The sequence below is a fragment of the Homo sapiens genome, chromosome 13, assembly GCF_000001405.40.
Source record: "Homo sapiens chromosome 13, GRCh38.p14 Primary Assembly".
NCBI lineage: Eukaryota > Metazoa > Chordata > Mammalia > Primates > Hominidae > Homo > Homo sapiens.
The window spans coordinates 91,031,964-91,057,753 of record NC_000013.11 but is presented as its reverse complement, the minus strand read 5'-3'; positions in this window follow the sequence as shown (position 1 = coordinate 91,057,753).

Here is a 25,790-nt window from a genome sequence, read left to right as displayed (position 1 = left end):
TTCTTTCCTTTCCTTTCCTTTCCTTTCCTTTCCTTTCCTTTCCTTTCCTTTCCTTTCCCTTTTCCTTTTCCTTTCCCTTTCCCTTCCCTTCTTTCTTCCTTTTTTTTTTTTTGACAGAGTCCCAGGCTGCAGTGCAGTGGTGCAATCTCAGCTCACTGCAACCTCTGCACCCTGGGTTCAAGCGATTATCATGCCTCAGCCTCCTGAGTAGCTGGGATTACAGGCCTGTGCCACCACACCTGGCTAATTTTTTTTTTTTTTTTTTGTATTTTTAGTAGAGATGAGGTTTAGCCATTTTGGCCAGGCTGGTCTCAAACTCCTGACCTCAAATGATCGGCCTCCTAAAGTGCTGGGATTACAGGCGTGAGCCACTGCACCTGGCCAGCCTGCCTACTATTTCACCCTGCTTGGCCCAAGTTGTTCAAATTGGCCATGAGTCGCTCAGCTACATGAGTCCCACTAAGAAAACAGATAGATCCAGAAGAGACAGCCACACCACTCTGATGATATGAGACAAAAGTTTAAGCTGGTTATGAACACTGCCTAGAGCAGGTTTTGACCAAAAGCTGGGGAGATGTCCACATATGCCTCTGGACAGACAAAATGAACTCCTGTGGCTAATCAGGGTCTCAAAGTTAAAACAGAAAGAGGCAGCCATGACAGAGTGAGAGAGCAGTCGTGTCCTTTGTTCTCAGAAAGTTACTGTAAAAGTGTCTCAGAACCTCATTTCCTACAGTCAAGCCAAAGTAGTTACTAGTTCCTGTCAGTGCTAAGATAGACCACAGCTGAAAATTCCCCAGCTGACCACCAACAGAACATCTAGAACCAGACAACTAAGAGAGACTGGTGACTTTGGGCTTAAAGGTCATCCAATCAAGACTCTCGTTCTTCTATTGCCCTCCCCTGCCTGAGGTGTTTGCCTTTAGTATCTCCTACTCCCTGTCTCCTCCTCAGGGTTTGCTTTTGTTTTACATCAGAGGCTGTATCTCCCCAATCTACATATTACTTTTTAATAAAATAAAAAAAAAAACCCGTCCCTTTTTCCTCGGAGGATCTCATAGTCCTTTGTAAACAATGGTATTCCAAAATCCCTCTGGAGTCAGAAAATGTTCCTTGATGAGGACTCAGTTCTGCTCCTTGAGAGTGGATTTCCAGTCTGTTTTTCCTTATGACTTTGGCTCTGCCCTCTGAGGTGTCTTGTCTCTTCTATTCTCTTCTTTCTACTCTTTGAAAAACCATGGTGTTTTTTTTTTTTTTTTTTTTTTTTTTTTTTTTTTTTTTTTTTTTTTTTTTTTGGTGGGAAGTAGCTTTTTTAGCCTGGTTCCTCTTTTTACAAAGTTGGCACCCTGAGTTGTTTTGCATTTCATATCACTGCTCTCATTTAATCAGTTTGGCAGTGCTTTTTGCAATACAACTAAAACCTCTGTGGGTAGTTTTTGCATTTGAATTTATTTCATGTGTTTTGCTAAAATGCATAGTTCTCTTGTAGGTGTTTGTATTTTTCTATACTTAATCACACTACTTTGGGAGGAACAGGCTGCTATGGAACAATACTCTCAAGATTCTTAGAAATCTTTTTTTTTTTCTTTTTCTCTAGTTGCTGCCTTAATCTTGATGGAGGACCTACAGCTACACCCTTGCTTTGGTCTATTTCCTGAGTTCAGTTCTTTGAGAATTTTTTTCTTGGCTTAGGATTGGAAATAAAAGACAGTTCTATTTTGTAGTGCCAATTTTGCCCCTCTATTTACTCGAAATTCTAGTTTCAAATTGGGCATTCCCACTCCTCACACCCTGATCCTTGAACTTATCTCTTTCTTGTATTACTTTATAATACACAGATAAATACAACCGTATTTTTAATATCTTGCCTGGTGATTTATTTGCCAAGTCCAATAGCTCATTAGTGCGTCTGTCTTCTATGTTATCACATAAGGCAGTTTTACTAATTGTTTTACCAGTAGATAATATAAGTGTTCATTTTTTCAGCTTTCTGGAACAGTTTCTTTACCATTTTTTCAGCTTCCTCTAACAGTTTCCTTAGACTTTGTCCCAGATTTGTTTCTATATGTTATATATTTTAGATTGTTATTATGCAGTTCCCACTTAGAAGTATAAGGTCTGGGACCACTGGTTAGCTTGAATCCTGCCTGGGGTCTGTCAATTTCCAATAAATAAGAGTCTCTGAAAATAGTCAGGAATCAGTGCCCAAACCTAAGTGTTTGATTTGATACCATTAATTCAATTAAAACAGTCAACATTGGTTTCAAGTCATCTAAGCCTCTTAGATAGAGATGAACAGAAGTCCATATTCTAAGTACATGAAGTCCTAAAACTGGGTCAGTAATGATGAATGAAAGGATGAGATTGTTTAATCCTTGGGTCTTAGGAAGTAGGCACTTTCTTTTCTTCCTTAACTGAAATAAGCATTTTAGTTAAAGAGATGTTAGAAGATCTTTTCTAGCTACTGTCCCAGAGTGAAGATTCCTGGTTAACTAGCTTGGCCTTACTTGGAGGGACTCCTATGCAATTATGGCAGTTGGAGGTATAAATTATTTGACCTTCAGAAAACGACAGCAGAGTATTGTAAAATCAAAGGGATCAACAGAATTGAAAATAACAGAGTGGTTATGTAATTTTGTTGGATATGTCAAACCTTTTAAGTCATGTGACTTTAACAATTGCTAGAATAATTGTTACTTTGCTAATTTAATTTTTATTTATTGTATATTTGTAGAAATATTTTGCATTCTGGGTCATCTTATTTTTTAATAGTCTAATTGGCCTCTGATAAACCTTGAAAAAAAAGCTTTGCATTTGTAGTAGAGTATGTCATAGAGTTAAACCTATTTAGCAATGAAAGGTTGAAATGAAAACCTAGTCATGAAAAAGCAGTAAATTAAAGACCACAGATGGGCTTTTTGATATGTAAATTCTGACACCATAAGTTACCATCTATATAACATTTGGCAAACTTCTGAAACCTCAGTTTCTTCATCTTTAATAGGGAATAATTACAAATACTGTATAGATTTGTAAGTGTGTGAGTGTGTGAGTGAGGTGAAATGTCTACAAAATCCAAAGCACTGAGCCAGGTACATAGATAGTAAGTGGACAAGAGATGTTAGCCTCTTCCATTCTTTAATTTCCTACATCTATTCGGAGATCTGCGATTTATTTTAGGCATTTAAAGACTAGTCTCTAATCTGATTTGGTTTATATTTTATTAGATTCTTTTGAACATATGATCTTAATTATGAAATAATATTTTTATTACACTTATCCTATATGAGAAACTAGAACATAACTTTCTGGATGTAAATTTGGCTAGAAATGAATGTCTTTTCAAAATTCTATTACCATATGTACAATTTATTTCCAAACAACTATTAGTGTTATCTTTCAATTTGAGTAATATTTAGGATTTTTACATTTATGGGATGAACAAATTGTATGGATTTACTCCTAAATATAACACTCCTCAAATTGTGAAATTAGATGTTTTTTTGTTGTTGTTGTTGTTAGGATCAAGTCTTTATTTTTGCTACTAGCAAGGTAGTCTGGATTATCCTACTTAAAGCCTTGTGGCTAAATCTTAGATATTGCTGGCCTGGAAAACAGTGGTGAGCATTTTTCAAGAATCAAATCTTCCTAATCTGATGTGCTAATGACCAAGGTCGGTTCTCATCAAAGTGGAAAAATTGGTCTCAATTTGCTCCTTCATGATTCACTTTGCATTTTACTTTTCTTTTGCAGAAAAATCTTTCCTTCTTTTTCTAGCATTTTGCTTTACTCTCTTTCATCGTGAGGTAAACATGTTTAAAGCATATAAGTATGCTAGGCAATGGACAGAAGGAGATATTCATTTCCTCCCAGTGCAAATTTGTTTTTTGGCAAAATGTAGTTCTTGCTGATATTTTGGCCATGTAGGCCAAATATTGTGTTGTTCTTTTTTTTCTGGAATGGGAACAGATGTATATATTCTCTACAGTAAAGTTTCATGCTGAGTTAACTGAAATCAAGTATTGCTTTACACTTCTGTATAGCAGTTTGGAAATCTAAAATTGCTTTCATATTTTATCTTCTTAATAACCATGTGAGGTAGACAGGATAGGTAGCTTTGTTGTTTGTTGTGTAGATGAAGAAACTGCAAATCAGAGGTTCTAAATGACATACACAGAATCTAGCAGCTTGAGAGGATGGGCTGGAAACTCATCTTTTGCCTGTTGGCTCCATGACCTTCCTGCTAAGGCACCAGGCTTCTCTATTTTTAGCTCAACTAAGCATAAACTGTTTGTACTAAAGAATTTGGGGATATGTGATTACTTATTTTAATTCTGACATACCAAATTATAGAGATGTTTAATTTTTTTGTTCCAGTAATTATAGCGAATTGTGAGAGAGGTGATCTTATAATTCTAGCTTTAGCCATCACATAGTAATTGATAAATGTTAATTCACAGCCAAATAAATTTGCTTAAAATTATTTGTCTGGTGAGTGGACATGTCGTGGGCCATGCTGGTCAGTGTCAGGAAATGCAAGGTGACAACATGAATGCACCAGCATTTTGTAATTACATAGTCAGCTCTAGAAAAAATAAGGAAGTAAATGAAGTTGAAATGTTCCCTGACCTGCTGAAAACTATTTTATTTCCAAGAATGTAAGCCAGCAGCCAAAAGAAATATTTCTCTCAAATGTAAGTATGTAGATCTAGGTCATTTCATGTCAAACTTCCACATGGTAGTAATCAGCAAAGAAGAAATTGCTGTCCATTGAACAATTTACTACATATGATTATTCCTTTATTTGACCAGCTCTTTCAATCCTGTCAAGTCTGCAGTGTCTATATTATTGCCCCATTTTAGAGGTGAGAAAATTGAGGCTCAGAGAGACCAGTTACCAATAATGACAAAGCTCAAATTTGAAGGAAGTGTTGTCAAACAAAATTTCATGTTTTTCTACTCTCCCAAACTTATCAAAAACCAAATGTCTACATTTTCTGTAATCTCGAAATATTTGTATTTGTTCAACTGTTATTCTAAACAGATAATTAATTCATAAGTAAATTAGTCAACATTTTTATTTGCCTGAGCAACCAGAACACTTCAAATTAAAAAAAGCAGACAAATCAAAATATGTTCATTCAGATGTGTTCATTTATTGATTTTTGATAATATTAAAATGTGTTCATTAATTGATTTTGATCATATAAGCCAGATAATTAAAACCTCATGTTTAATATGTTTGATTTTGAATGTAAGACGTGCCTCTGCTGCACTATATATTTGTTTCTGTAGCATAAAACATTCTTTTGCATAGGACAGAAATCTCAGCATGGTTAATGAAGATTAGCCAGCTTAGAAATTTAAAAGGCTTTGACCTGTGTATCTACATGTGAAATAGTTAGATTTAGTACTCAAAAGATTTGTGTGTTCTACTGACAATTTACATTTTAATTACCATGGCACACAATTAAAAAAAAGACTCTTCAATACTATAATTTTAAAAACTGCATAGATTTATTTTCTCAGAATATACATGCGTGATTAATTGCATGCAAAACTCCAAGGAGATCCTTAGTACTTTGCTTCAGCATACAAAGTTTTTATTAAAAAAAAGTATAATGACTCATTAAGGATTCATCTGAAAATTTTTTGCATTTTAAATATTGTTTGGTACATTCTAGTTTTGACAGTAGTGAAATAATTTAATTTGAAGTGGGTTCTCAGTCATGATGAAGAACTGTAATAAATCAACTTAGCAAAAAAAAATCAAGTGTACATCACTATATTAGCTCCAGGCCATTCAAAAGCAGTGACGGCTTTGTTCTACTCCAAAAAGGAATGTTTAATTCATTAGAACAGGTAGAAAATCGGTATGTTTATGCTTTTTCTTGGTACTTTGCTTGAAGATTAATCTTTTGTTCACCACTGGATCTGCACAAAAACAAATTTATTTGAAAGGAATTAACTGTCACACAGTGTGTGGGTCTTAGTTTTCTTAGAGGAAATAGGACGTGGCTGGGGCCTAAACAATATTTCAGTTTGAGGGTAATGTGTTTTCTGGTTTCTACCCTGTCAGATTCTCACCCTGGTCTCCATAAAAGCAAGGAGAGATAGCCTGCTTGACACATTTTGCCTAAAGCAAGTCCTGAAACTGGAATTTATATTCTTCATTTGACTGAGTGCTGATTTCCATAGTTTTGCCAAGAGGCAGAATACAGTATATTTTCTCAAAAAACTTAATACCATTTTTACAAATCAAGTTGTATTTTGTACAAAATAGTGAAGGAAAGCAGGGAAGAGGGGATGCTTAACTCTGAAACAGATTTTTATTTTTTTATTTTTTTTGGTTCATTAACCTAGATAAAAGCAGGCTTTTAAATAGGTTTAAAAAATGTTAACTAACTCATTTATTTTTAGAGGTATTTAAAAATTTAGGATTCTGACCCTCCTTTCTGGCCACAGATGAAAAGCAAAATAACCAATATTGGAAAAATAAGTTAGAAATCATGAGATCTTCTCTTTCTTCAACATCTGGATTGCAACAAAGCAATATACGTTTAGTCTGATGAAGTCAATGAAGTATGACTTTTTCTGTCTACCCACAGATGTTAGTTTCCAACAAAAAAAAATCTCCTTAAGTTACAGGCTGCTCTTTTGGAGATGAATTATCCACGGGTCCACTTAATAACTACCAATGATGCTATTACAACCCCCAGAGATTAATAGAAGATCACATTTTGTTAAATGAAGTAGTTTTCTTAAAAATGGGAAATATTTCATAATTTTATTCTAAATGCCATAAATATAACAACATATACTTTGTTGTTCTTCAAATCCAGGGATAAAAGTATACCAAATTTTCCACTCTAGAATTAAGTGAAAAAGGCAAAGTCAGTACACAGAGACACATGATTTATCTGTGGCATAGATGAGACTTACTTTTACAAGTAATTACAGAAATTTCAACAGAGAGATTGTGCATTGTAGAATGAATGTATGGCCAATCACTATTTTGAAATTTTTCTATAATGACCACTACAACTATAATTGGTCTTTACATTGACAAAAGTCACATCATAATCTTTCTAACCACTCTCCTTCAAACTGGTTTCCTGACTGGAATTCCCCATGTTTGTTAAAGTGGCTACCAACAGCCCAGGCTTGATGCACTGGAGTATATGTTAACAAATTTTACATTTCATCCTGTATATCCTAGGAAATGTCAGTTGACAAATATTCTACCTTTATAATGCCTTCTTTATCCACCTTGTTTTCCCCTAATCCCATTGCCATTACCCACGAGGAACCGGGTAAGTTAATTCAGACTTTGCAATAGAGAAAATAAACATCTTCCATCATTGAAAATTTAAATATCTCACCACCACCATCACCTCCAAACACCCAAGTATCATTCACTCAGGATTGAAGAATTAAACTCTTCCTGCTGTAGAGCAAAGATAGTTGTTTGTTGAATTGATTCTAATGAGCTGTCAAAGTCAATTGAGAACGAACTAGTAGAAATGATTTTTGAACAGCAGTTTTCTCATAGGAGAAGAATGAGTGCTAAAAGAGGTAAGAACGAAGGAAGAACGTTAGTGGGAGGCAGGCATATGATAGACTGGATTAAGAAAATGTGGCACATATACACCATGGAATACTATGCAGCCATAAAAAATGATGAGTTCATGTCCTTTGTAGGGACATGGATGAACCTGGAAACCATCATTCTCAGCAAACTATTGCAAGGACAAAAAACCAAACACCGCTTGCTCTCACTCATAGGTGGGAATTGCACAATGAGAACACATGGACACAGGAAGGGGAACAACACACACTGGGGCCTGTTGTGGGGTGGCGGGAGGGGGGAGGGATAGCATTAGGAGATATACCTAATGTTAAATGATGAGTTAACGGGTGCAGCACACCAACATGGCACATGTATACATATGTAACTAACCTGCACGTTGTGCACATGTACCCTAAAACTTAAAGTATAATTTAAAAAAAAGAAATTACCTAAATAATGAAAAAAAGGAAGTGCTTAGAGAATGAAGGAGGAAAGAAAATACAGGGCCTTTTCAGAAAGTGAGAACCCCTATATTTGTGCTATGATTATTCTTGGAAAAGGACTCCGATGAGGGGCTTTGCTGAAGTGCCCAGGGAGAAGATTTGACCTCCCCTTCTTTGCCTCTCTTTGCCTCAACCAGGTTCTATGTTAGAAATTTTGCTGGATTGGATCCTCCTTCTTATCTAGTTACCTCCTGGGTGAGGAGTAGGAGTGAGCTACTCTATGTTGCGTCACTTTGTTTAGTCCTCATCTCATAACAGCCACCAATATCTTCAAGATCAATAATTAGAGCACTGGGTTACTTGCCTAACCTCTACCCTCCATATATATTTGAGGAGTTGCTGAATGATATGGTTTGATATGTGTCGCCACGCAAATCTCAGCTCAAGTTGTAATCTCCACCTGTGGAAGGAAGGATCTGGTGGGAGGTAATTGGAACATGGGGCGGTTTCCCCCATGCTGTTCTCATGATAGTGAGTGAGTTCTCAGGGGATCTGATGGCTTAAGAGTGTTTGACAGTTTCCCCCTCGCTCTCTGTCTCCCCTGCCGCCATGTAAGATGTGCCTTGCATTCTCTTCGCCTTCTGCCATGATTGTAAGTTTCCTAAGGCCTCCCCAGCTATGCAGAACTGTGAGTTTATTAATCCTCTTTTGTTTATAAATTACCCCATCTCACGTAGTTCTTTACAGCAGTGTGAAAATGAACTAATGCACTGAACTTAATCAACTAGAGGTACCCAGAGCTCAATGGCGTTTAATGATACCACATTAAGACATGTGGGTCTCAGAGATGGCTTTGCTTGGCTCTGATTTATCATCTTTTTTCCTCTATCGTTAGAAGATAAATTTGTAAAAAGGCCAAATCCTGACTCTCATAAAAAATATAAAATGAACACATGTCAAAGCTTTTATCTAACTCATGAATTAATGAGGTAACCAGTTAGATGTTATACAACTAGTTCAAACGATAATTCAAAAAGCAGAAACATATAGGTCAGGAAATGATTTTACAGATTGAAGTAAAGCTGACTCTTTTTCTACAAGGGTCGGGGATCTTGAGATAAGGGAAAGAAATAAAATGTCTCTCCATCAGACAGAAATTATTTGCATGCTTATAGGCAGGAACTTTTTGCACTGTTATCAGTTATCAAGAACTTGCAGAGTTTCTAAGCAGCTCAAAAGACTATGAAAGGTGCAAAACCCTTAGATTTAGAAACTGGAAAGGTGTTCCTCTAGACTAGAGGTTTGCAAACTTTTCAGTAAAGTATCAGATAATAAATATTTTAGGCCTTATGGACCACATACAGTCTCCATTACTTATTCATCTTTTTTTTTTTGTTTGGTTTTACAGTGTTTTAAAAATATAAAAACCATTTGTATTTCAGAGGCTATATAAAAGCATGCCTCCAGCCAGATTTGCCCATGGGTCCTACTATGACTGACCCCTGCTCTCAGCATGTGTGTTTAGCTACTGAATTCACCAATAGTCTTTTTGGTCCATTTTAAAGTCTTTTACAATTTTTCCCAATCGTATTTGGACCTGTCCTTCATTTTGGTATAAAATAAATTTTTTAAGTTACTAATTTCATCAAAGCCTTCTACCTCTCAAAAAATTTCAATGGATCCTTGAAGAATTAAATACACACTTCTCAGACCCGGTATTCAGGGCTCTCTAATCACCCATGTGACTGTTGCAGATTTATTCCTTAGTGTCTCTGCACGTATGAATTCTTTACTCTTAAATATGTCTTATTTTCTCCCTTCTGTACCTTTTCTCATGTTTTAATAATTATTCAGATTTCACTCCACATTTAAAAATCCTGGAAATCTTGTTTCAAAAACCATTTGTCCAACAAAGTCTTTCCTGATCTTTATTCAGGGAACATATTCTTCTTTGGGCCTTCTTTACATTGAAATTATCATTTAGATCTATTGCACTAATCATTGCTCTCTTAATTCCTCTTTATCTGTGTTATTCCCTTACAATACTGACTTTTTCTTCCTTATGATCTAGGTCTTTAAAAATTAGGTGCTCAGTACTTTTGTTGCATTGCATAACTTGTTTCTTCTCGTATTCCTTCGTAATTTTTGGTTTGCTGAAATAAGACCTATTACTGACTTATTGAGATATGTGAAAAGTGTTCATTCCCTTTCTATAAGTAGCCAGGATGGTATCTATGGGAAATCACTTAATATTCTTGCCATAGTTATTTACTGTTGCATGTCAGATTACTCTAAAACTTATTAGCTTAAAATGAAAAGCATATTTATGATGTACTGGTTTCTATGCGTGAGATGTCTGGATGTGACCTAGCTGTTTTTTTTTGGCTCATGGTCCGTCACAATGCAATCAAGATGATGCCAGGGCCTCAGTGACCTCAAGGGTTATCTGAGGAGGGATCCACTTCTAATAAGCTCACTCCCATGATTTTTGGCAGGATTCAGTTTCCTGAGGGTTGTTGGACAGAGGGCCTTATTTTTCACTGAATGTTGGTCAGAGGTCTCCTTCTGTTCCTTGCCAGCTCCGTGGCACTCCAGGCAGCTCATAACATGGAGGTGTGGCTTCATCAGAGTGAGCAAGTGAGAACAGCCAGAGGGAGCCTGAGAGCCAGAAAGCAGGAGAAAGAGAGAAAGAAGAGAGAGAGAGAGAGAAGGAGAGAAGAGGAGAGGAGAGGAGAGGGGAGGGGAGGGGAGGGGAGGGGACGGGAGGGCAGGGGAGGGGAGGGGAGAGGAATAAAGAGAGACTGAGCAGCAAGACAGGAGTTGTCTTTTAAAACCTAATCTCAGAAGTAACAATTCTGTTCATTACCTTTGCTATGTATTTTTTTATTTGTTAGATGTGTTTAAAGAAAGAAGATTACTCATGATGTTTGTAAAAACAACAAGGCCAACTTTATTCAGGACTCCCGCCATAGGTATAGAGACTACTGCAATGGGGTTTTGCAGTAAAGGAGCGAGTTTGGGCTCAACTCCAAAATCCAACAAGGGAAAGTGGGGATTTATAGTCAAGAACCAGGGTGGGCAGGTGGGTTTGTGGATGGAAAATTACTAACAGGAAGCATCAGGGGTAAGGGGGCATTGGGGGCTGAACCAACCTAACAAGTTCTTGCTAATGGCAGGCCAGGTGATCAGACATCACCAGTGGGGTTGTGGGGGATGAGGAATTGATCAGTTATTGAGGGTGATCAGATAATGGGAGTGAAGGATTCTGGCTAAAAGAACTTGACAGAATTCTTGCTAAAATTAGGTGAAGCAAGGGACCCAAATCTAGGCCTATTTGGGAGGAGGATTCAGAGGAGCCTGAGTACAGTTTGGCTGAGGAGAGACTGTCAGAGGCAAGTGTCCAGCTCCAGTCTACAGCCAAAAGAAGGGGATTGCCCCAGGGTGTGGATATTAGGAGGTGGTATTCGGAGGAGGGCATTTTCTAGTCTGCCTGCTCCAAATTCTCTACCCTTCTGTTCTTTACCTCTCAGATGATGGTATAAGGTTGGATATACTGAACTTACAGAATTAGGTCAAAATACTATTATAAATTCAAAATAATGTGAAAATTTAAAAGTATTCTCTAAATATAAGAAGACCATGGGGAACCTTCTATCGAATAAAGGAGAAATTGCCAGATTGATGTTGTTTATGGAAAAAGTCAGAATGAATCCTCAACCAAAATTAATATTTACTGAAAATGTTAATAATTATATTGGACTATGCATTTTCCCCTCTATTATCTAGGCCTCCAGCATTTGGAAATCTGGACAGTTTTCTTTTGTCTCCCTATGGTGTTGCGTATTTGAAACAGACATCCTTGCATCTCAAAAGAGCCTTTGGAAAGAGAATCTTACCACAAAGAAAAGGTTCTCAAGCATCTGTGAAGGTCTCTAATGCTGGAAGGTATCCGTCCTAGAAATCTTCAAAGAGATGGTTTTCTCTGCCTCTCTATGTATTAGATCCCCAGGAAATTATCTTTAAAGTGTCTGGCTAATCTGGTTTAATCGCTCCTGTTTTGATTCTTACTGCTGCCAAGATGATTGCAACTATACTATCTCATTGCTCCAGTAGATGGCAGAAGTATACTGTGCACCAAATTGAAGTAAGTTAGAAAACTTGTATATACAAGGCGTGAGCAAATGGTCTCAACTTGTTTTAAAAATCTGCCTTTGTTGTGTTTGGGACACCGTGGATGTAAAGGGAATTGTAGCATTCCATTACAGACTCCTCTGATTCCAACAGATTTTGCTGATACTTGGCAGAATAAAAAAATAGTTCATAGGAATGTGTGATATCATGTAGAATTAAGTCAGGCCTTATATGCTCATCTTGTAGTCTATTCAATAAGGCTTTCTTCCTTGTTTTCATCTTAATAAAGCAAACTGGATATAATATGGAAATCATTTTAATTAAAAGAAAGGCATATGGCATTTTGTAATTAGAAACCATGAGGATCAGTTATTTAGATAGTGGTGTTCTGCAGTGGGAGTTAAAAGACATGGAAAGACAGAAGACATTCACATTCATTAGTTGTTTTTCAGTTATGTGATACAAGTATATTCAAAGAATGTACGTATTATTGCACATATTGTAGCTTTGAAAGCATATATATTAACCATTTTATTGCTGTTCTTGTCTGTTTATGTTCTTGCTAATTTGACAATACTGTAATTTAAACCAAGGACATTATACAGTGATGTAATTGTATCCACAGAGAAATGGACATGGTGAAATTTATATTCATGTGAAATGAACATAAATTAGGCAAAATTCAGATAATTTTCCCGGCATTGATGCTATATGGAAAGTATGCATACAACTAAATTTCAGCAAGGTAAACCTTGATTTTCTTTATGTTTTCATGATAGAAATGAGATGCATTCTCACTTAAAATAAAGAGAGACAGAATATCCCCACAATGCGTGTTGATAATGATGCCCATCGCTTTATTTCTGCTTTTGACCTAGCAGAATTTCATGGCCTGTTCTCCCTGTGAGGGACTCTACCTTTGGTAGGAAACTACTCAGGGCAAAGGGCCACATCTAGACAGAATAGGTATTAATATTGGGAAGTTTGTTGGTGATGCTTTACAGTGGGCAGATGGGCGGGATTTTACCTGGAGATTGCATAGGTTATCAAATCTGAGAGCTAAAGCAGTATCTTAAAGGGAAATAAATACTGAGGTTCGTAGCTGGGAAATTAGAGCAAGACTGGATGAGCTGTGAGATTGATTTGGGCAGTTCAGGAATTAGTTTTTGAATCGAGTCTGCATGCCTGGGTACTTTTTTCAGTGTGGAGTTTTGGAAGACTTTTTTTTAAAGGCACCAGCTAAAAGGAGCACATTGCATTGATGCCTTTAGGGATTGTCAACCTACAAAGTCCTCTCTGTTTCCTGAGTTTTGCTGATAGCTGAGACCCAATTAGATTGTAAATGAGATTTGGATTACTTTTGGCTTAATATACTATCTTACATATGTTTATAACAAAGCTTAGCTGGCATTTTCCCATCCACTGTAGACATCTTTTGAGGATAACTTATTTGACTAGGCATTTTATTACCTCAAAGTGCTTGGTTTTGAAGGCAGCTTTAAAGAACTGATTGTGCCTTTTCTTCTACATTAGTACCTTATTATTACCCTCTTTTCTTGTCCAGAAGAAATGTTGATTTTCTTTTACAGATTTCTAGTGAATCTGTGATGTTTACTTATCCATTTTTTAATCCCACAGATATTTTTAAAGAGTCATGCAAGTAACTTTATTCAAGGTTTTCTTGAACATAAAGTTATGAGCTTAAAATAAGGCTATCTTGAGAATTAGAATGTTGAAAAATTCAACAAAAGAAAAAATCAGCTGTGAAGAGCTTAGTCCTTGTCGAGAGAATGGCATTAGAGAACTTACCTATATGGTTTTCCCATCTGACATTAGAAGAAATCTATACTATTAATTTTGATGTACTATATTCATATGAAGGAAAGTGGTAGGGCCTCTATCCACTTCAATTTCAATGAAATATTTGTAATTGTTTTCTTTGTTGAAGACAGTACTCAGTCAGAAAAGTTCTTTGGTTTTTGTTTCTGTGCCTTGTTCTCTATCTAATTGTGAATACTTTTTTGGATTTTGTTACTTGGAGTTACTGACAACAGGGTTCTGATATTGGTTTTGACTTTCTATGTTCTTTCATACCTTTTCTCATTTCTTTACTTACTTGAATATTTGACTTTCCAAAACCTTTGGGTGACTTTTTTTTTTTTTTTTTTTTTTTTTACTTTCTAAGGTGTTTTTCATCTCTTCTTCAATTTCCGTGGCTTTAGGGTCTTGGCTCTGCTTTATGCCAAAATATATGCTGTTAACCCATCTTACCTGTGCCTCAGCTTCCTCCCATCTCACAAATACAAATACCACTGAAATGCAATTCCAAAGCACAGAAGTAGAATGTCTTATCTTTATTTGTTTCTAAAAGATTTATTGAAAAGCCACTCTATTTCTTTGCTACTCATTTTAGCCTCTCTTTCAATTTCTGAATGTCAAGCTCTTCTTTCTTATCTCTAACAGAGTTTCATTCAACAATTTAACACAAATTTACAGAACATCTACACTGTGAATATAGTAGTGAACAAAACTGATAGAATCCATAGCCTCATCAAACTTCCAAACCACAAGGGGATGTAGACGTTAAAGACATACTTAAAAGTACTTTGAGAGCTATGTATACCTGTGACAGCAGGATACATAATCTCAGAGAAGGATGAAACATCTTTTCTAACTACTAGAGAGACATAACAAATTAACTTCAAACAAGCATCAGACAAGCACCATTATGTTCACAAATCCAGTGAGTAAAGAATCCAAATAGGGCACAGTGAGATGACTGGTGTCTGCGGATTTAGTGGGAAGATTTATAGGGAAAAGACTGGAATCTTCTGGAGGACATCTATTCAGTTGTCTAGTATTTGCTACTGGCTGTTGGCTAGGATCTAAGCTAGGATTGCTGGCCAGAGTACCCAGAATACCTATATAAGACCTCTGCATGTGGTTTGAGATTTCTCACAGCATTGTGGATGAGTTTCAAAGATGAGTGTCCTAAAAGAGAGTCACATGGAAGCCGCATCCATTTTGGGACCTAGCCCTGGGCATCACATGGCATCCACTTCCACCATACTCTACCGGTTGGTGCTGTGCCAAACTAGCCTAGGTTCAACTGGGTGGGAAATAGTCACCACCCCTTGATGGCCAAGGTACAAGGCTCTGGAAAAGCAAATGGTACTATAAATATTGCTGTGCTGTGACCATTTTGAAAAAAAAAAATACAACCTGACAGAGTATCTTTAAAAAAGTGTTATTTAAGTTAAAGCTGGTTGGAGGGGAATAAATGTGAGAAGGCATTATAGTCAGAGGAAGTGATATGGGTGAAGCTCCTGAGATGAGACAAACAAATGGTTTAGCTAGGAAAATGAAGGCCAGTTTTGCTGGCACAGAGAGGGTGAAAAGGTGAGTGGTAGGAGGTGAAACTAGAAAGATATGGCATTGTAGACCTGAGTCAATTGTTCAGACTTCAAACAAGGGTTAGAGGTTATTTTAAAGGTCTAGAAACCTTTTCCCAAGGGACGTAGGAGACCCTGTGCGGACTTTGGGAATGACATGATCAGGTTTGTGGATGTAGATGCCAGGATCCTGGATTACAACATACAATCATAGGCAGTGGAGCCAATTAAGTAACTATTGCAGTGATTGAGGTAAGAGACAAAAGTGAGTTGGGCTAGTGCAGTGGCAATGGAGATGGAGTCAAGTAGAAGATTCGAGGTATAAATTAGTTGGAATAGGCAGGATTTGGGAAATGGTTTAGCTGTAAAGGGTAAGAGGGTGGTCAGGTTTGAGAAAATGTTCTAGGTGTACTGCTTTGGAAACTATATATGGAAAGATTTGAGTAGCAGGAATAGGCTTTTGGGGAGATTACAAGTTAAGTTTTAGGAATATTGAATTTGAAGTGCTTTGAAAGCTATGCTGACATGTCCAGTGGAAGGTGGATTGTATGAGTCAGGAGCTCAGCAGAGGTGAAGTGTACATTGTGAACCATCAGCACATGGATGGTACCTGCAGGCATGGATTGGATCAGAAGAGGGTATCAATAAAATTGAAAGCAGATTCACAAATTATATTACTTAAAGATAAAATATAATTTCATGAAGCAGAAAAGGAAAATTGGATTGGGACATGGATTTTGACTTTTCTTACACTTTAAACTCCTTCAGGGCAGGGACCATTTCTTTGCAGAACAAATTTGAGATATACTTACAGGTAGAGTGGGTAGGATTTAGGGAATAGTTTGGCTGTAAGGGTCCCTTTGCAGGGACCATTTTATTTTTCCATATTACATGGGAAAATTCGTAGGCATGAGGCTGGAAAATATTGAATCCATGAATAGTGAAGAGTAATGAGTATGTTGATCATTAAAAAGTAAGGCATTGTTTTATATAGGTTTAGATTCATGTGTTGTGAGTTTAAAAGTGCTCTGTTGATAGTAAAAAAAAAAGTAAAATTGGTATTAAGAGTGAAGGTGAATAATGAGAACTTGTTATACAAATTTGTGAGATTGTATTCTAAAATTATACTCAATGAAACTCTGTAGATCTACGAATTTCCTATGGTAGTGATTATTTTCTATTTTCTACAATTTAAAAATGTGGATTTGAAAAGAATGTGTCCTGGTCTTTGAAGTCCCTCTCTGTCCCTTTGAGGGTGAATAGAAGAGTTGTAGGTGTGTGTTAGTAATACTGTAGAAGTTGTTGTGGTGGCCATATCTAACTAATGAGATGTTGGAATTTGTTTGAGAATGTCATCTAATATATGGAGTAAAGAATGACCGCTGAATGTCTCCAGCTAATTTGTCTTATTTCTTACTGCCCTAAGAACATTGACATTAAAGTTAAACTTCCATTAATATGTGTTTTCTTTTTCTTTCTTTTTTCTTTTTTTTTTTTTTTTTGAGATGGAGTCTCGCTCTGTTGCCAGGCTGGAATACAGTGGTGCAATCTCAGCTCAGGGCAAACTCCACCTCCCAGGTTCAAGGGATTCTCCTTCCTCAGCCTCCCAAGTAGCTGGGACTACAGGCGCCCACAACCACGTCCAGTTAATTTTTTGTATTTTAGTAGAAATGGGGTTTCACTATGTTGGCCAGGATGGGCTCGGTCTCCTGACCTCATGATCTGCCCACCTCGGCCTTCCAAAGTGCTGGGATTACAGGCATGAGCCACCATGCCTGGTCATATGTGGTGTTTTCTGACTCTTGGTCGATTACTTCTAAGAAGCTGCTCATCTTGAAGAGAATGGGCATAATTAGGAATAATAATCCTGTTTAGTAAAATATTTCTAATCTCCGAAGCCCCAGAATGTTTTATTTTTTCAGCAAAGAGTGACTGAACACTTTGGTAATAGTATTAGCTAATGTCAATTGCCTTATTATTTTCCAACCTGCATCTGTATTGGGGGACTTCCAAAGACTGAGTTTATTACAGAAGTATTTATAAACTTCATTACTAAATAATCATAAAGTGAAAAAGTTGATTTTATAGGGTTCATTCACTCATTCATGTAATATATATTAAATACCTTCTACCTGCTACTTACGGTTTTAGGCTCTGAGGTCCAAGAGATGAGCACACATTGCATTAAGGAGCACCCAGTGGAAAAAAGAAGAAAATCTAGAAAATGCCCTACTGCAATTCAGGGTGTTATGAAACTACAAAGAACTGTTATCTAAATCAGAAGCTTTCTCTAATGCCTCTAGTCTAAAATGTAGTTGATTTGAATTAATTCCTGCACAAGACAATAGGTATTACTATCTCTAGCATTTTAAAAAACATTGCAAATATCCTAGAAAGGGGCAGCATAGATCCATAGTGTAAATAGGATAATGTTTCACTTTTCTATATGATGGATGGGATGTAGCATAATGGGAGATTATATATGAATCTCTTTGCTGACCGCAGCAAAAGATAGAGTTCCCCAAAAGCCTAATTTTCCCTGCTAGATTCTACATTGTGCCAGGTATTGTGCTTTATGTCTGAATGTGATTCATTGCCAGTGATTCTCAAAACCATTAATGAATATTTGAATCACCAAGAGGACTTCTTTTTTTTAATTATTCTAGAGTACATGTGCACAACATGCAAGTTTGTTACATATGTATATATGTGCCATGTTGGTGTGCTGCACCCGTTAACTCGTCATTTACATTATATATATCTCCTAATGCTATCCCTCCCCCTCCCCCCACCCCCTTAAAGGCCCCGGTGTGTGACGTTTACCACCCTGTGTCCAAGTGTTCTCATTGTTCAGTTCCCACCTATGAGTGAGAACATGCCGTGTTTGGTTTTCTGTCCTTGTGATAGTTTGCTCAAAATGATGGTTTCTAGCTTCATCCATGTCCCTACAAAGGACATGAACTCATCCTTTTTTATGGCTGCATAGTATTCCATGGTGTATATGTGCCACATTGTCTTAATCCAGTCTATCATTGATGGACATTTGGGTTGATTCCAAGTCTTTGCTATTGTGAATAGTGCCACAATAAACATACCTGTGCATGTGTCTTTATAGCAGCATGATTTATAATCCTTTGGGTATGTGCCCAATAATGGGATGGCTGGGTCAAATGGTATTTCTAGTTCTAGATCCTTGAGGAATTGCCACACTGTCTTCCACAATGGTTGAACTAGTTTACAGTCCCACCAACAGTGTAAAAGTGTTCCTACTTCTCCACATCCTCTCCAGCACCTGTTGTTTCCTGACTTTTTAATGATCACCATTCAAACTGGTGTGAGATGGTATCTCATTGTGGTTTTGATTTGCATTTCTCTGATGGCCAGTGATGATGAGCATTTTTTCATGTGTCTTTTGGCTGCATAAATGTCTTCTTTTGAGAAGTGTCTGTTCATATCCTTTGCCCACTTTTTGATGGAGTTGTTTGATTTTTTTCTTGTAAATTTGTTTAAGTTCTTTGTAGATTCTGGATATTAGCCCTCTGTCAGATGGGTAGATTGTAAAAATTTTCTCCCATTCTGTAGGTTGCCTGTTCACTCTGATGGCAGTTTCTTTTGCTGTGCAGAAGCTCTTTAGTTTAATTAGATCCCATTTGTCAATTTCGGCTTTCGTTGCCATTGCTTTTGGTGTTTTAGACATGAAGTCCTTGCCCATGCCTATGTCCTGAATGGTATTGCCTAGGTTTTCTTTCAGGGTTTTTATGGGTTTAGGTCTAACATTTAAGTCTTTAATCCATCTAGAATTAATTTTTGTATAAGGTATAAGGAAGGGATCCAGTTTCAGCTTCCTACATATGGCTAGCCAGTTTTCCCAGCACCATTTATTAAATAGGGAATCCTTTCCCCACTTCTTGTTTTTCTCAGGCTTGTCAAAGATCAGATGGTTGTAGATGTGTGGTATTATTTCCGAGGGCTCTGTTCTGTTCCATGGGTCTATATCCCAAGAAGACTTCTTAAAGCAGAGTGCTAGGCCCCAACCCTAGAATTTTTGGTTCAACAGATCTGGAGTGGGACCCAAGAATTTGGATTTCTGATCATTTCCCAGGCAATGCTGTTGCTGCTGGTGCCGGAACCACACTCTTAGAATCACTGCATTAGATACACTGCTTGTCCTCAATGAATTTACAGACAGGTGGAGGGGACAGGTAAGTGAGCAGGTACTAACAATACAGTGTCATAAAAGCAAAGGGAAGTGAAGATTTGAGCTGAGATTGCTTAGAATAATCAACCTTCTGATTTGTGTCAACTGGTGACTTAGCGACCTGTAGACAGGCAAAGTGAAGAAAACATTTGATGTAATTATTAAGTTACTCTGTCCCCAAAGCCCAACAGTATAAACCTTTTATTGAGAAAGTAAAACGACAATGCTGCCTTGATTACTTGTCTGTGTTGATTGGTTTCACCTGCTAAATGCTTCCCCTCACAATTCACCTCACCTTTGTAGATTTAACCTTACATCATTTGGGAACTACTTTTCTCTCCAATGTCATCAGATACAGGGTGGCAGTGTTTGTGTTTCTTGACAGCTATATAAAGGTGCAACTATAAGTTTGGGTTTCATCTTCCTTCCTTTTATGTATAGTTGCAAATATAATAAATTGTGTCAGAGCCTAAATAAAAGTCCTTTCTTTTCCTTTTTTTCTCTTTTTTTGGCAAGGTTTATCTTCTGACCCAATTTAAACAATATCAACTGAGAGATTATCTTATTCAATGAAAAGAATGGAGAAATCTAAACTTTTGAAGACAGATTTCATTAGTACAAAGTAGCAGTGTGAATACCCTGTAATCATTTTACTTGAATCATCAGAGGGTGAAAGAAGTTATTTCTTTTAAATTTCACTGTAGAGAGAGATTGAAGAGCAGTGTCAAACAGTGTAGTTATTTTCCTCAGATGTCAGGTATTTAGAATTGTCCCAGAGTAGAGAACAATGATTGTAAAAGCATATTTGGAAACTAATGAATGCTGTTGCCTCATATTTCTGTCTTCTGAATTGCTTTCAGATAATTCTGTGTTCTCATGACTCTCTTCCTCCTACCCCCCTGTCTCTTTGTTTCTCATGCACTCTTACAAGATAAAGAGACGTTTCCTGCCAGCTGATGTCTCAGGACTATTCGTAAGGTTTAATCCTGTGTCTGTCTCATCTTATTTTCCTCTTATATAACAGCAAAGTTTGACCTACTTTTCCAATTTATATCACTTAATCTTCCCTGTGATTTTGTCGTCTCCTCCAAAATACCATGGAATGGAACCCAGGCTTCCTAATCCTGATTTGTTTTTAACAGGCACCTAATTACCTTTTTAATTTTGAAAGAATTTACTCTTAATAATTAGAAGAGGACATATATAGATAAGCAAAATTAAAATTTGATCGGGAGGTTATAGAGTCATGAGATGTCTCATAGTGGCCTCTTTGTAACTCTACCTGCTTTTAAAATGGCTTTTCTCTGACTCCCTGATCCATTTGAAGCCCTCACTCCCCATGTCTCTGATTGTTTTGGGAATCTCTAAAAGGTAGTTTTCACGTAAGACATAATACTATACCTTCCCCCATTATCTAGCTGTCCTTACCCTTGACCCCTTTTTCTTTCTGCTGATGACAATCCTATATGCCTTTATACTAATGTAGGCATCTTACTTTTCATTGCCTGCATTCAGCATGGCCACCATGGACCACAGCAAAACTTTCCCTACTAAAACTTTATTTGATGCCATAAAGAATATCTGCATTTACCTTATATTCTACTACCAAGTACTCAAAACTATTTTTTCAGCGGTCTGATCTAGATCCCACCAGTTTACAGTAAATAAATCATCAAGTTTCACTGTATACTATAGACAGTTTCCTAGTTCTTCCTGCCTTTTCCCTCCTTGCTTTCTCAAAACAAGGGGCTTTGAGACTCTTTCTTGGTACTATGTCTTTGGTACCAATATCTATTCTAGACAGGGATAATTGATTGTAAGGAACTGAAACCTGCTCAAGATTTCATAAACTAAAAGGGAGGTTTATTATAAAGCTTGGCTGAATATAGTCAGGTCTTATGGGAACTGTCATTGGGAGCAAGGGTTCTGTCTCGAACCATGTTTAGTTTTTCAGTATCCTTTGGGCAAAATGATTTCCTTTAGGTGTTTATTCATGAGCCTGGCCTATTTTGCTCTTCATAATTTTAACTTGACTTTGCTCTTTCACTTGGCTCCCCACAGCTCGTTGACTCCCCACAGCTCGTTGACTCCATATTCCAGGGTCTCTGAATAGACTGAAGAGATGGGTAGATAATCTTCATTCATCAGTTGTCCTTTGGGGTGTGGCTGCAGGAATAAGTCAGCCACTCTTTCACTACTGAAAGGATTTCCTCACACTGATAATTTTTATTGTCAGAACCACTTTTACCAAAAAGTTAGATAGGTTAAGTTACTTTTAGAAACAATTTAAATGAAAATTGTACATGTAAAAGCAAGCTGTTTTGAAACTATCTCAAAGGTAGGCCCTTGATAAAGTAAGTAAAAAGCGCACATGTTTAGTATACAGCAAAATGTGCTTTGACAATTGCAATCTCTGTTTTTATGTCTACAGAGCATTTAAGTATTCAGTTTAAGAAGAAATCCGCATGTTAATAAATAATGACAGACCTAAGATAGTGCAGGATATCTGCCAACCAGAGTAGTAATCGATGACTATCAACAACCTCAAAAAAGAGAGAAGGTAAACTTTGTAGCAGGTGCTTTATAAAGCAAGCTTGAACTACAACTTTATCTGATTTGTGGAAAAGTTCTCATTGATCTGCAAATGCCATTTTCTGTAGAGGCTCTTACCTGCAACCTCCTAAATTATTTGCCAAAAAAAGTTTAGGAAGAAAATGAACCAGAAGAAAGTAAAAAGAAGTATTAAAGTATGAAGTAGGGTATTATAATATTAATATTTTTCAACTTTTTATAAGGTACAAATTAAATGCACAATGTTGAACATTTTCTTTCCCTTAGAATATTTTATGCTTTTATTTTAGGGTTAGGGGTACATGTGAAGGTTTGTTAAATAGGTAAACACATGTCATGGTGGTTAGTTGTACATATTATTTCATCACCCATGTATTAATCCCAGTACCCAATAGTTACCTTTTCTGCTCCTTTTCCTCTTCCCACCTTCCACCCTCAAGTAGGCCACAGAGTCTGTTGTTTCCCTCTTTATGTCTATGAGTTCTCATCATTTAGCTCCCACTTATAAGTGAGAACATGCTGTATTCGGTTTTCTGCTCCTGTGTTAGTTTGCTAAGGATAATAGCCTCCAGCTCCATCCATGTTCCCACCAAAGACATGGATCTTGTTCTTTTTTTATGGCTGCATAATATTTCATGGTGTATATGTACCACATTTTTGTTATCCAGTCTGTCATTGATGGACATTTAGGTTGATTCCGTGTCTTTACTCTTGTGACTAGTGCTGCAGTGAACATTCACATGCATGTGTTTTTATGGTAGAAAGATTTATATTCCTCTGGGTATATGCCCAGTAATGAGATTGCTGGGTCAAATGGTAGTTCTTCTTTTAGCCCTTTGAAGAATCGTGAGCACGTTTTTGTTTTTTTTTTTTAACAAGAGCTTAGCCCGGGCAAAACCTGAAGTCTTTAGAGGATGGCAGTGTGACTTAAACCCCTCCTGAGGAAATCCCTTCCCATAAGGCTCCCCAGTCTTTATTCCTTCTTAAAAATGTGAAGCAATCTGTTTTTTAATTTTTGTAGATGGTGCTCCAAGTAAATATAATTAAAAATAATTTACATTCATCTGTTACTTGGACTATGCATTTGTATTAAATTCTGGAGTATAAAGTTTTTCTTTTTCCTTTTAAATGGAATTATGAACAATTTCAGTCAACAATAATTGTGTTGAAGCTGGGTACAGTGGCTCACACCTGTAATCCCAGCACTTTGGGAGGTTGAAGTGGGAGGATTGCTTGGAGGTTGAAGTGGGAGGATTGCTTGAGTCCAGGAGCAAGAGACCAGTGTGGGCAACATGGTAAAACTCTGTCTCTACTAAAAATGTAAAAAATTAGCCAGGCATGGTGGTGCATGCCTATAGTACCAGCTACTCTGGAGGCTTAGGTAGAAGGATTGCTTGAGCCTAGGAGGTTGAGGCTACAGTGAGCTGTGATCATGCCACTGCACTTGAGTGTGGGCGACAGAGCAGGACCCCATCTCTTAAAAAAAAAAAAAACACATTGGAGGAGGAGGTAAAGCGGGGATGAAATCATATAATTGGTCCTAAAGAAAAAACTGATTGGGCTTTTTAGTAAAATTTGTGGGCAAAGTCAATGGCTTTTTGTTTCTTTGTCCTATGATTGCTTGGGGAAGCCATAAGGAAGAACAAAATGCAAGATGGAGGTTTAAAAGTAGTACCAGATCAAGCAGAAGGGCTGTTTTCCCTTTCTGAAATGTATTTATTCTACAAAAAAAATTTTTTGGTTCTTTCTATCAAAATCAGTTTTATCTGATACTATGACATAACTAGTATGCATACAAGCAATGCAATTTGTGGCAAAGTATAAGCTGTAATACAGTTACCAACACATTTTACACATTATGGCTTTGTGTTAAAAACAAATTGCTCCACATATATTTATTGTATGTCAGATATTTTTCTGAAACCATCACCCAACCCCTAGATCTTCCCTCAAGCTGTTCCTCTTCCCTGTGTAAACATAGATTGGATTTTCAGTGTCTCTGTCTTTAATCCACACTGCTCCCTCCCTTCACACTGAATGAAGCAGCTCTGACAATACAACTTTGGTATCAGAGCCAGGACTGGAAGCTGCCACTCATAATTCCAATCCAGTCTGTTGTTTATTGAACCAGTGGTGAAAAGTTTTTGAAAAAATGAAAAAAAAATGTTTTCTATATGTATATATGATGAAATTAAGTGACATTTTTACATGTAGTTAAATATTCACAAGAAGCAGCTTTATGTCTGCCATGGAGTTTAAGCCCTGCCCTGGCATCAGGATCAGAAAGTGAGGCACAAAAGTGGGGAAAAGGGTAGTTTCAGTTCAGAGGTACTATTTTCACATTCGAATCTGTCCATTTTAACTTTTACAGCTACTCTCTTTTGCAGAAAATACTCAAGTTAACGGTATCAGTATATTCAACTGAAAAAGTTTTCAGAACAAGTTTCTCCCCTACTCTAAATAGCTTTGGATAGGAAACAGCATATAATAAGAAATAACTGATCTAAAGTAAAGAGGCAAGCAATGAACCTTCTCACAACCTGGTGGGATAAACTTGAATATAGAAAGAAGTTATCATGGAATTTCATTTCTGGAAGGCTAGTTATCTGGTTCTCAGGTCAAAATATGTACATGAGAACCCCTGCCAAGGCTGGCTAGTTTAGAGGTTTCCAGATAAGTCCTTCATGGATAATGCAGATTTCATACTTGTACTTGATCTCTGGAGGGAAGCATCACAAACATTTTCTGTGAAGAGTCACACAGTCTGTATGGCAATTAATCAACTGTCCTTGTTGTTGCCGTAGACAATATGTAAATGAAGGTGTTCCAATGAAACTTTCTTTACAAAAACAGTTCGTGGGCAGGATTGGCGGGGGAGGCTCTTCTTCCCTGCCCATGTATGTCTAACTACCTACTGTAACAAGAGGAAGACCTTTACCAACTTCAGAAGAACACTTTCCACACAGTTATGGATACTTTTTTTCATGGGTATCCACAGTTCCAGCAGGAGCTGCAGTTTGTCTGGCTTTGGAGCCTTGGTACCAGTCTCCATATCAGTACCATAACTAGCACTAGCATTTGCATTTAGTGCAGAGTGTCTTGACCCAGCAGAACAAGTTGGGTACAGCACAACACATGCACAGTGAGGCTTCAGCAAGGGGACAAGAAGAGTGGCAGTACCTGCAGCAAGAGCAAATGCTGTCAGGGAGTTTTCTGGGCTTGGAGGCTTTGCAGGATAAATTATCACAGGGAGTTGAAACCACAGGAAGTGGATAAGCAGAGGATCTGGCATTGCACGACAGGTGAAAATAAGGTGCTCAGAAGTATGTATGGAACAGATCTGCTGAACTCTTGAAGTTTGGTGGAAGCCCCACGTAATGTGTACATAGTATTGGAATGAGGGATGTACTGTTACTTTCTGAAATTGTGACTTTGTTTTTACTTCCAGGTTAGGATTTAGTTTGTGTTACATATTTCTGAGTACC